Here is a 13131-nt window from a genome sequence, read left to right as displayed (position 1 = left end):
CATTTAGGGGACAGTTGAAGAAGTAAGAGCCTAGATGAAGAGTATTAGACAGTACTACTACAATCGTTATATCACTTCTTCTGTTTTCACACCCTTTTCTAGCAAGATTGAAAATGTCTGGCATACTTATACGCCTTTATCCATGGTTTCTTTCTGATAGAACAAAATGCTGTGTATAATGCACCTGGTTTTGCATTATAGCCACAATCATTAAAATTCTGTAAATAGTAGACTGTTTTTACTGTTGTATTATTGAATGAAGAATTGACTAGAGAAGGAGAAGCATTGGATCTTGGCTCAATTCTCAGAACTGTAAATGGGTCATCAAAGCTACTCTCTGAATCATAACCTGCATGTGGAAGAGTAGGACACCACTTCTTCCTAGGGCTTGTAATGTTTAGAATGTTTTCTTTTTATTATCTTTATTATCTGGTCTCTCCTTAAAATAACTCCCCATTAACTGAAATAATCTCATCATGTGTGTTTCTTGAAAATTTAAACTGACTAACCCACACAAACATGATGATCCCCAGTATATGTATGCTCTTTTATAAGTTTGCCTGCCAAAATAATAATGTAATAATAATAATGTAAACCAGCTACGCATGAACAGGAATTATTATAAGGATTCTTCACTTAAACAATAATTGTGAATTGTGCTGCTATAAACATACGTGTGCAAGTGTCTTTTTCCTGTAATGACTTCCTTTCCTTTGAGTGGGTACCCAGCAGTGGGACTGATGGGTCGATGGTAGATCAGACTTTTAGCTCTATAAGGAATTGCTGTACTGTTTCCATAGAAGTTGCACTAATTTATATTCCTATCAGTAGTGTGTAAATGTTACCTTTCTCCCATATCCACACCAGTGTCTACTGTTTCTTGACTTTTCTTTTTTTCTTTTTGAGGCAAGTTCTCACTCTCTCACCCAAAATAGAGTGCAGTGGCATGATCATGGCTCACTGCAGCCTCGACCTCCTGGACTCAAACGATCCTCTGGCCTCAGCCTCTGGAGTAGCTGGGACCACAGGTGCACACCACCACACCTGGCTGATTTTTTTTTTTTTTTGTATTTTTTGTAGAGATGGTGTTTTGCCATGTTGCCCAGGCTGATCTCAAACTCCTGAGCTCAAGTGATCAGCCCACCTTGGCCTCCCAAAGTGCTGAGATTACAGGCATGAGTCACTGTGGCCCGCCTGTTTTTGGATTTTGTAATAATGTCCATTCTTGCAGGAGTAAGGTGGTATCTCATTGTGCCTTTAATTTTCACTTTTCTGATGATTAGTGATGTTGAACATTTTTTCATATGTTTGTTGGCCATTTGTAAATCTTCTTTTGAGAAATGTTTATTTATATCCTTTGCAGACTTTTTAATGGGATTATTTGCTTTTCTCTTTTTTGTTGTTGTTGTTTTTTTTTTTTTAGTTCATTGTAGATTGTGGATACTAGTCCTTTGTCAGATGTATACTTTTCAAATATTTTCTCCCTTTTTTTTTGTTTTCTCTTGATCACTGCAATTGTTATGCAGAAGCTTTTTAGTTTAATTTGGTCCCATTCATTTATTTTTGTTTTTATTGCATTTGCTTTTGGGGTCTTTGTCATTAATTCTTTGCCTGGGCGGAAGTCTAGAAGAGTTTTTCTGACGTTTTCCATAACTTTTAGTTTCAGGTCTTATAGTTAAGGCTTTGATCCATCTCAAGTTAATTTTTGTATAAGATGAGAGACAGGGATCCAGTTTCATTCTACATGTGGCTTGCTAGTTTTCCCAGCACCATTTATTAAATAGGGTATCCATTCCCCAATTTATGTTTTTGTATGTCTTGTCAAAGATCAATTCACTGTACATATTTGGCTTTATTTCTGGGTTCTGTATCCTGTTCCACTGGTCTATTTTTATAGCAGTACCATACTGTTTTGGTAACTACAGCCTTATAGTGTCATTTGAAGTCTAGTTATATGGTGCCTCCAGATTTCTTCCTTTTGCTTAGGATTGCTTTGGACATTTGGGCTGTTTTTTGATTCCATATGAATTTTAGTATTTTTTTTCTAATTCTGTTAAAAATTATGTTGGTATTTTTCTGGGAATTGCATTGAATCTGTAGATTGCTTTGAGAGTTTGGTCATTTTCACAATATCAATTCTTCCAGTCCATGAGCATAGGATGTGTTTCCATTTGTTTGTGTCATTCATGATATCTTTCAGCAGTGTTTTGTAATTGTCCTTGAGGAGGTCTGTCACCTGCTTGGTTAAGTGTACTTTTAGTTTTAGTTTTTGTTTTTTTTTTCAGCTGTTGCAAAAGGTATTGTGTTCTTGATTTGATTCTCAGCTTGGTTTTTGTTGGTGTTTGTTCACATTGATCTTGTAACCTGAGACTTTATTTAATTCATTTATCAAATCTAAAAGTCTTTTGGAGGAGTTTTTAGGATTTTCTAAGTATACAATCATATCATCTGCAAACAGCTACAGTTTGACTTCCTCTTTTCCAATTTGGATACCCTTTCTTTCTTTCTTTTGCCTAATTGCTCTAGCTTGTATTTCCAGCATTACGTGAATAGGAGTGGTAATAGTTAGCATCCTTGTCTTGTTTCTGTTCTCAGGGGAAATGCTTTGAACTTTTCCCCATTCAATATGATGTTGGCTGTGGGTTTGTCATATATGGCTTTTATTATTTTGAAGTCAGTCCCTTATATGCCTAATTTGTTGAGAGTTTTTATCATAAAGTTATGCTGGATTTTGTCAACTGCTTTTTCTGTATCTATTGAGATGATCATATGGTTTTTGTTTTTAATTCTGTTTATGTGATGTATCACATTTATTGACTTGCATATGTTAATCCATTCCTACATCCCTGGAATGAAACCTACTTGATTATGATGAATTAGCTTTTTGATGTGCTGTTGGATTTCATTAACTACTATTTTCTTGAGAATTTTTGTGTCTACGTTTATCAGAAAAATTGGTCTGTAGTTTTCTTTTTTGTTATGTCCTTCCCTGGTTTTGATATCAAAGTGATTCTAACTTTATAGAATGATTTATGGAGGATTCCCTTTTTTTCAGCCTTTTGGAATAATTTCAGTAGGATTGGTACAATTATTCTTTGAGTGTCTGGTAGAATTCAGCTGTGAATCTATCTGGTCTTGGGCTTTTTTGTTGTTGTCGGCAATTTTAAAATTACTGATTCAGTCTCACTACTTGCTATTGGTCTGTCCAAGTTTTCTGTTTCTTCCTCATTTAATCTAGGTGGGTTGTATATTTCCAGGAAATTGTCAATCTCCTCTAGATTTTCTAGTTTGTGTGCATAAAAGTGTCCATAGTGGTATCAAATGATCTTTTGTATTTCTGTTGTGTTGGTTGTAATGTCTCTAGTTTCATTTTAAATTGAGCTTATTTCTATCTTATCTCTTCTTGGTTAATCTAGCAATTGTCTATTTTGTTTATTTTTTTCAAAAAAAACAAGTTTTTTATTTCATTGATTGTATCCTCTTTTTGGAATTTCATTTCATTCTGCTCTGATCTTTGTTATTTCTTTTCTTCTTCTAGCTTTGGGTTTATTTTGTTCTTGTTCCTCCACTTTCTTGAGTTGTGACATTAGGTTGTCAATTTGTACTCTGTCAGACTTTTGGTTGTAGGCATTTAGTGCTGTAAACTTTTTTCTTAGCACTGCTCCTGCTGTATCTCAGAGGTTTGATAAATTGTCATTATTATCATTATTCAATTCAAAGATTTTTAAAATTTTCATCTTGATTTCATTGTTAACTCAGACATCATTCAGGAGCAGATTATTTAATGTCTTTGTATTTGTATAGTTTTGAGGGTTCCTTTTGGAGTTGATTTCTAGTTTTATTCCACTGTGGTATGAGAAGATACTAGACATTATTTCAGTTTTTTAAAATGTATCGACTCTTGTTTTGTGGCCTTTCATATGGTCTATCTTGGAGAATGTTCTATGTGTGGATGAGAAGAATGTATATTTTGCAAACCTTGGGTAGAATGTTCTGTAAATATTCATTAAGTTCATTTGTTCTAGCATATCGTTTAAGTCCATTGTTTCTCTGTAATTTATTTTATGTCTTAAAGATTTGTCTAGTGCTGTCAGGTGTGTATTGAAGTCTCCCACTATTATTGTTTTCCTGTCTATCTCATTTCTTAGGTCTAGCAGTAATCTTTTTATGAATCTAGGAACTCTAGTGTTTGATGTGTATAAATTTAGGATTGTGATTCTTCTTGGTGAATTGATCCTTTTATCATTATATAGTGATCAGTTTTGTTTTTTTCACCATTGTTGCTTTGAAGTCTGTTTTGTCAGATACAAGAATTGTTACTCCTGCTTGCTTTAGGTTTCCATTTGTGTGGAATACCTTTTTTTACTCTTTTACCCTGAGTTTATATGAATACTTCTGTGTTAGGTGAGTCTATTGAAGACAGCAGATATTTGAATCATGACCTTTTATTCATTCTGCCATTCTATTTCTTTTAAGTGGAGCACTTAGGCCATTTACATTCACCATTAATATTGAGATGTGAGATACTCTTCTCTTCATCATGTTAATTGTTACCTAGATAGTTTTGGTTTTATTGTGTTATTGTTTTACAGACTCTGTGAGTTTTTAGTTTTCAAGAGGTTCTACTTTGGTGCATATTGGCCTTTTGATTTTGAGGTTTAGAACTCCTTTTAGCATTTCTTATAGTGCATGTTTGGTAGTGACAAATTCCCTCAGTATTTGGAAATGACTTTATTTCTCCTTCATTTGTGAAACTTAGTTTTGCAGGATGTCAAATTCTTGGCCCACAGTTGTTGTTTAAGGAAGTCGAAGATAGGTCCCTAATCCTTTCTGGCATCCAAGGTTTATGCTGAAAAGTTGGTTGTTAGTCTAATAGGTTTTTCTTTGTAGGTTACCTAATGATTTTGTCTTACTGCTCTTGGAATTCTTTCCTTCATGTTGACTTTAAATAGACTGATGACTATATCCCTTGGTAATCTTTTATACTGATTTGATTCAAATTATTATAAAGGATTTTACAGAAGTAGCATAATTAAGGTTTATGAAAGAATGTGGGGTTAATTTGTAAAAATAAGATAGAATGAACAGAAATCAAATATGAAAGTGTAACAGAATTTGCTTTTTCAAAAGGAAAATACAGAATTATTGAAGCAAGAATGCTGTGTACAATGAAGAAATAAAATTCTTTTAAACATTAAAATAAAATGGAGTGTACTTTGAAAACTATTCATTAAAATTTATGACAGTTGTAAAAATGACTTAATTGCATATTTTCCTTTGTATTTCACATTAGTGAAGCAATTTGATAGAATTGCATTTTAAAGTACAAATGTTCAGTTTCTATTTATGTGCAGAATATGGCTATTTGTTTATTGACTTATTAATCACCGGATATTTGTTTCAGTATGGTTTAAGGTGAAATAAATTCTTCCAATTCAATAAAGTGTGAAACTTCCAATAGCAGAACAAAATTTACAAATATATGTATTTAACCTAAGTAATTTGTATTAAAATTTGTGTTTACCTGCTCTTTTTTATCACAACTTGATGTATTTTACTAATGCTAAGTATTTTATATTATTTAATAATATGAAATGAGAATCTTCATTAAAGCTATTACAGCAAGTTGAATAACATCATTTTGTTCAATGCCCTTTGGATATAATCTCTTCTGTTTGGAGCTGGAAGTGTGTGGAGTTTGCATGTTCTTCCCATGTCTGCATGAGTTTCATCCAGGTACTCTGATTTCCTCTCACATCCCAAAGATGTGCACGTTAGGTTCATTCATGTGTCTAATGTTCCCAGTTTGCATGAGTGTTGGTGTGCATGTGTAAACCCTGTAATGGGAAGGCATCCTGTCCACAGCTGATTTCTACCTTGCACACTGAGCTGCAATTCTGAACTGAAATAAGCATGTGAACAGTAATCTTACTTGTGCTTGGTAATCTTTCTTAAACGTATGTATAGCTCACATTTATTTAAATGTTTGATACTACAGATGTTTTGAGCCCTAGTTTAAAGTTTGGCAATGATTTGTGACCAGAAATATGATGTAGGAATTTGACTGTTGTTTATATTGAGTAGCTTATGATAAAATTGGTTCTGTTAAATCTTTTTTCACTTAATGTCACAGTGTCCAAAACCTGTTGATGATGTTAAGACTCACTGTATATATTATAGCTAATCAAGTTTCAATTACATATGCCTTTCTAGTATATATAATGAAATATAAATTTTCATTCTGATTTATTACATAACAATTTCATTGATCTTATTAAATACTGCCTTGCCTATGTGACGCTCAGTATATTTATTGCCTAAGCTTATTGGAATAACAAAAGTGCCCATTATCATAGCAGTTAATGACAGGAAATGCCATGATTCTTTAGGTAGCATGGCACATTTGTTAGGAAGACAGACTCTGCAGTCATAGTGCCTGAATTTTAACAGTGACTTAACTGCTTACTAGATACATGACCTTGAGCAAGTTAAACAACATTTGAGCCACAGTTTCCTCTTCTGTAAAAGATAACTAATAACATCTATCCCAATAGGTTGTTAGGGGTTTAAATGAGATAAAGCATGCAAAGTATTCAAAAGCCTTTGGCACATGCTGAAGAATCAATAAATATTAACTTTTCTCAAGTAAACACTGGAAGTTTTAAGCATTCTAAATAATCATAATTTCTAAAGAGTATGTACTAATTTAGAGTTTACAAATGCTATCCCCTATATTATACAATTTTATCCTGTGTGGTAATCTTATGTGAAGGTATCAAAATTCCTGTTGAAGGAAGGAAGGATTGGTGTATTAGCCCATTTTCTTACTGCTATGAAGAAATACCTGAGACTGGGTAATTTATAAAGACGAAGAGATTTAATGGACTCACAGTTCCACATGGCTGGAGTGGCCTCACAATCATGGCAGAAGGTGAAGGAGGAGCAAAGTTATGTCTTACATGGCAGCAGGCAAGAGAGCATGTGCAGGGGAATTTCCCTTCATAAAATCATCAGATCTCATGAGATATATTCACTATCACGAGAAAAGCATGGGAAAACTTGCCCTCATGATTCAGTTACCTCCTATTGGGTCCCTCCCATGACACATGAGGATTATTGGAGCTACAATCCAAGATGAGATTTGGGTGGGGACACAGCCAATCTATATTAATTGGATTAAGTTGCTATACTGTACTAAGTATCAGACTAAGGGCTTTCATATAAGGCAAGTGCTATCATTAATATGATTTTGGAGATGAGGAAACTGTGGATTACAGAGAATAAGTTTGCTCAAATACCTAACTATTAAATGAAGAAAAAGGAAAAGAGATGTATAGTCTGCATTTTAACTATTTCCTTGTGATATTGTTACCAGGAACTGTGGGAATCCTCAGGTCTTATCTAACTTGGAAGAAAAAATTCAACCAAGAGATGCAACAAGAGTTAAGTAGCAGGTTTTGTTGAAGGAAGATAAAGTACGTTCCTAGAGTGAAGTAAAAAACAGCTCCAGGCTGGTTCAGTTTGCAAAAATAGTAGCAGTAGTGTTTATTTAAAGAGACAGTACACTCTGAGAGATGGGACAGAATCTGCTTGAAAGAATGAGCCAGCAGCAGCTAGTGCTAGGGGACTCTCTTTATGAGAATCTTACATCATTAGTTTTGAAGGGGCATGAGGGGATGTTATTTGCAAACATGTTTGAGTTCCCTTTGAACACACATGCTCCATGGTTGTAAATGCTAGTAGTACACATGTTGCATGTCTTATTAGCATTTAAAAGCTCAACCTGGCCAGGCACAGTGGCTCATGCCTATAATCCCTGTACTTTGAGAGGCCTAGGTGGGTGAATCACCTGAGGTTGGGAGTTTGAGACCAGCCTGGACAACATGATGAAACCCCGTCTCTACTAAAATTACAAAAAATTAGCTGGGCGTGGTGGTGCGTGCCTGTAATCCCAGCTACTCAGGAGGCTGAGTCAGGAGAATCATTTGAACCCGGGAGGGGAGGTGGACATTGTAGTGAGTCGAGATTGTGCCACTGTACTCCAGCCTGGGCAACAAGAGCAAAATTCTGTCAAAAACAAAAAACAAAAACAAAAAAACCTCCACTCAGGGATTTTTTTTTTTACTATTATAATAAGCAAAAGGCTACTCTAGAGTGAGTTCTTGGAGGAATGTCCATGCTCTTCAGCAGGGAAAATCTCTAGCATGGTTATCTCCAGCTGAGGCTGGATAAATTCCTTTTAGGGCTGGAGGAGCCAAACCACAAGGCCAGAAGTAGCAAGTGTAGCCATTTATTTCATTCAGTTCTCAAACTGCTATGAAGAAATACCCAAAACTAGGTAATTTATGAAGAAAGAGGTTTAATTTACTCACAGCTCTGCATTGCAGAGGAGGCCTCAGGAAACTTAACAATCATAGAGGAAGGCATCTCTTCACAGGGCAGGAGGACAGAGTGAGTGGTGAGCAGAGAGGGAAGCCCCTTATAAAACCATCAGATCTTGTGAGAACTCATTATGATCATGAGAACAACATGGTGGAAACCACCCCCACGATTCAGTTATCTCCACGTGGTCCTGCCCTTGCAACATGGGGATTATTAAGATTCAAGGTGAGATTTGTATGGGGACACAGAGCCAAACCCTATCATTCTGTCCATGGCCCTTCACAAATCTCATACCCTCACATTTCAAAACACAATCATGCCCTTCCAACAGTTCCCCAAAGTCTTAACTCATTCCAGCATTAACCCAAAATTCCAAGTCCAAAATCTCATCTGAGACAAGGCAAGTGCCTTCCACCTATGAGCTTGTAAAATCAAAAGCAAGTTAGATTCTTCCTAGATACAGTGGAGGTACAGGCATTGGGTAAATACACTTGTTTCAAATGGGAGAAATTGGCCAAAACAAATGGGCTACAGGACCCATGTAAGTCCGAAATCCAACAAGGCATTCAGCAAATCTTAAAAGTTCCAAAATGATCCTCTTTGATTCCATATCTCACATCCAGGTTACACTGAGGCAAAAGGTGGGCTCCCATAGCCTTAGGCAGCTCCACCCCTGTGGCTTTGCAAGGTACAGCCCCCCTCCCAGCTACTTTCATGGGCTGGTGTTGAGTGTCTGCAGCCTTTCCAGGCATACAGTGCAAGCTGTCAGTGGATCTACCATTCTGGGGCTAGGAGGATGTTGGCCCTCTTCTCACAGATCCACTAGGCAATGTCCTAGTGGGGACTCCAACCCCCCATTTCCTTTCTGCACTGCCCTAGCAGAGGTTCTTCAGGATGGCTTCACATCTGCAGCCAACGTCTGCCTGGACATCCAGGTGTTTCTATACATCCTCTGAAATCTAGGTGGAGGTTCCCAAACCTCAATTCTTGACTTCCGTGCACCCACAGGCTCAACACCACATGGAAGCTGCCAAGGCTTGGGGCTTGCACCCTCTGAAGCAATGGCCTAAGCTGTATGTTGGCCCTTTTTAGCCACGGATGGAGCTGAAGCAGCTAGGATGCAGTGCACCATGTTCTGAGGCTGCATAGAGCAGCAGGCCTGGTCCTGACCCAGAAACTATTTTTCCCTCCTAGGCCTCCAGGTCTGTGATGGGAGGGGCTGCTATAAAGGTCTCTGCCGTGCTCTGGAGACATTTTACCCATTGTCTTGGTCATTAGCATTTGGTTCCTTATTACTTATGCAAATTTCTGCAGCAGGCTTGAATTTCTCCTCAGAATTTTTTTTTTTTCAATCACAACATCAGGTTGAAAATTTTCCAAACTTTTATGCTCTGTTTCCTATTGAACACTTTGCCAGTTAGAAACTTCTTTGACAGGTATCCTAAATCATCTCTCTGAAGTTCAAACCTCCACAGATTTCTAGGGCAGGGGCAAAAATGTCGCCAGTCTCTTTGCATAGCAACAGTGGCCTTTACTCTAGTTTCTAACAAGTTCCTCATCTCTATCTGAGACCACCTCAGCCTTGACTTCATTGTCTATATCACTGTCAGCATTTTGGTCAAAGCCATTCAACAAGTCTCTAGGGTGTTCCAAACTTTCCTACCTTTTCCTGTCTTCTTCTGAGTCCTCCAAACTGTTTCAATCTCTGCCTATTACCCAGTTTCAAAGTGGCTTCCATGTTTTTGAGTATCTTTACAGCAGCACCCCACTCTCTGGTACCAATTTGCTATATTAGTCAATTCTCACACTGCTATGAAGAAATACCCAAGACTGGGTAATTTATAAAGAAAAGAGTTTTAATTGACTCACAGTTCTACACTGCTGGGGAGGCCTCACGAAACTTAGTCATCACAGAAAGCACCTTTTCACAGGACAGCAGGATAGAGTGAGTGCCCAGCGAAGGAGGAAGCCCCTTATAAAACCATCAGATCTTGTGAGAACTCACTATCACAAGAACAGCATGGCGGAAATTACCCCCGTGAGTCACCCATATTTCCACCTGGTCCCGCCCTTGACACGTGGGGATTATTGATTCAAGATGAGATTTGGATGGGAACGCAGAGCCAAACCATATTACCATTGTCACTTTTGCTTACTGTTAATGTGCAGCTCTGACTATCAGTGGGTAGCACCTCTAAGACTTCTTTTCCCAGGGGGCTCCCTAGCCTGCTCATTTCTGGCTATCTGCCCACTCTAACAATATGTTATTTTATAATACGTATAAAGATAATAAGGGTTTTGTCTATTAATTCCTGCATTGGTTTTATGTATCGTAAGATTAATATGTATAGCCATCACATTAATGAAAGAACAAGCACAATGGTGCTTGAAGTGAAAATTAACAGTTTTTATTATGGAGTTGACAATGTGCTATATTCAGTAAGTTTTCTGAGCAAACAAAATTATGGAATTACAATGAATTAACATAAATATAATATCAGATATATATAATTTTAGTAATTATTTTAGGCATTATCTGTTAGTGAAAAAATACTGTTATTTTTACTTTTATAAAATTTATAAAAATCAAATCACTAAATTTTTGGTTTTTGTATCTACTTCTACTTTGTAATAGATTTATAATGGTAATCAGTCTCAATTTCTTTCTGGATGTAGAAGTAGTATAAGTGATAAATATTAGAAATTGAATATTGTCACAATGGTGTTTAGAAACATGCTGAAGATGAGATACCTGCATTAGTCTTTCCTTTTGTAGTTTTTGAGAACTTCTTTAAAAAGAATTAGTAAATGAAAGATACTGTAGCTTCTTAAACTCCTACTAGATTCTTCTATGATGTCAATCATTGCCTAAAGCCCACATTTATGTCTTTACTTCATGTATATCATTTTTATGTGTACACATCAATTTCTAACATCAATATAAAGGCTTGTTCTAACGCTATATAATAAATTCTACATATAATGTTTTTATGTAAAAATCATTTGAAACATGCATAAAATTGATTTATATGGCATGTTACTCTTAAAATCACTAAAACCTACATTTTTTTCAATAAAAATCTGATTAATCATTTGCTGTTTATGTGGATATTGAATGACATAACTTTTTAAATGCCTTAACTTTTCAAAAAATGAATATTTGTTTCAGATAAAAAAACTTTTTAAATATCTTACTCTCCCTTCTCTGCTTTATTGGATACGTTGCACTGGAGAACATGGGGCATGTTTGATGACCAAATATTTTTCAGTGATCCTATATCATTTTTCCTAGCACAGCCTATAAGAGAACAGTAAAATAGATGGAGGTGAATGCAAGGTGAATGTTTTGTGTTAAAATATTTCATATAAAATTCCTAATGATGACTTTTATGCCTATCTAATTAATTGCAACTCTGAGTTTATCAAATACTAAGAAAATTCATCTGCAGTATGTTATTAAGCTTAGTTCATCTTTTGCTTGCATTTAAATATTATTTTTAATCTATAGTAGCATAAAACACACTGTTTATTTTTTTAAAAAATAACCTTTCATTGAGAAAAGTCTCTTGACATTTGTGTTTGCAAATATTTTTTAGATATGACCCCAAAAGCACAGGCAATAAAAGTAAAAACAGACAAATGAGATTGCCTCAAACTATAAAGCTTCTGCACAGAAAAGGAAGCAATTTACAGAGTGAAGAGAAAACATATGGAATGGAATAAAATATTTGCAAACCATACATCTGAAGGAGTTGATATACAAAATATATAAGTCAAACAGCTCATAGCAGGAAAACAAATAGCCTGACTTTAAAATGGGCCAAGGACCACAATAGACATTTCTTAAAAGAAAACATAGAAATGATCAGCACATATATTACCAAATGCTTAACATCATGAATCATCAGGATAATGTAAATTAAAAGCACAATGGGATATAATGTCACATCTGTTAGAAAAGATTTTACCAAAAGGACAAGAGATACCAAGGGTTAGTGAGGATATGGAGAAAAGTAAATATTTTTACATTGTTGGTGAGTATGTAAATTAGTACAGCCATGATGAAAAATAGTATGGATGTTTCCCAAAAATATAAAATAGAACAACCATGTGACCTAGCAATTCCACTTCTGGGTATATAGCCAAAGGAAATGAAATCAGCATGTCAAAGAGATGCCTGCACTTCCATGTTCATTGCACCATTATAAACAATGATCAAGATATGGAATCAAGCTGAATGTCCATCAATAGATGAATGGATAAAGAAAATGTGGTATACACACACAATGAAATACTTATTCAGCCTTTAAAAAAGAAGAAAATATCATCATTTGCATGGATGAAACTGGAAAAAATATGCTAAGTGAAATTAGCCAGACACAGAAAAGAAAAATTACTGACAAATTTTTGTGTATTTACCAAATGATGTCATTTACACGTGGAATCTAAAAAATCAAACTCACAGAAGTAGAGAGTAGAATGCTGGTTACCAAGGGCTGGCGTGGGTAGGAAGAGGGCGGTAATGTGGAGTTGTTCATCAAAGGGTAAGCAGTTTCAGTTATATAGGAGAAATACGTTCTGGAGATCTAGTGTACAGCATGGTGATGATAGTTAATAATGTACTGTATACTGGAAAATTGCTGACAGAGTAGATTTTAAATGTTCTCATCACAAAAAAAATGGTAAGTATGTGAGATGTTAGATATATTAGATTGATTTAATTATCACAGTATCAAATTATCACAGATA

The 13131-nt window shown here is 35.6% G+C and overlaps 1 annotated feature.

Moving 5' to 3' along the window:
- Positions 6115-6616: an enhancer, noted in NCBI's record as "NANOG hESC enhancer chr2:188565262-188565763 (GRCh37/hg19 assembly coordinates)". NCBI's record gives its function as "activates a minimal SCP1, AML or CMV promoter by ChIP-STARR-seq in primed H9 embryonic stem cells {active_cell/tissue: H9 hESC(primed)}" and the evidence as "EXISTENCE:reporter gene assay evidence [ECO:0000049][PMID:30033119]".

Source organism: Homo sapiens, chromosome 2, assembly GCF_000001405.40.
Source record: "Homo sapiens chromosome 2, GRCh38.p14 Primary Assembly".
Classification (NCBI taxonomy): Eukaryota; Metazoa; Chordata; class Mammalia; order Primates; family Hominidae; genus Homo; species Homo sapiens.
The sequence above is the reverse complement of the archived record's forward strand: the minus strand, read 5'-3'. Positions and strand labels throughout refer to the sequence as shown.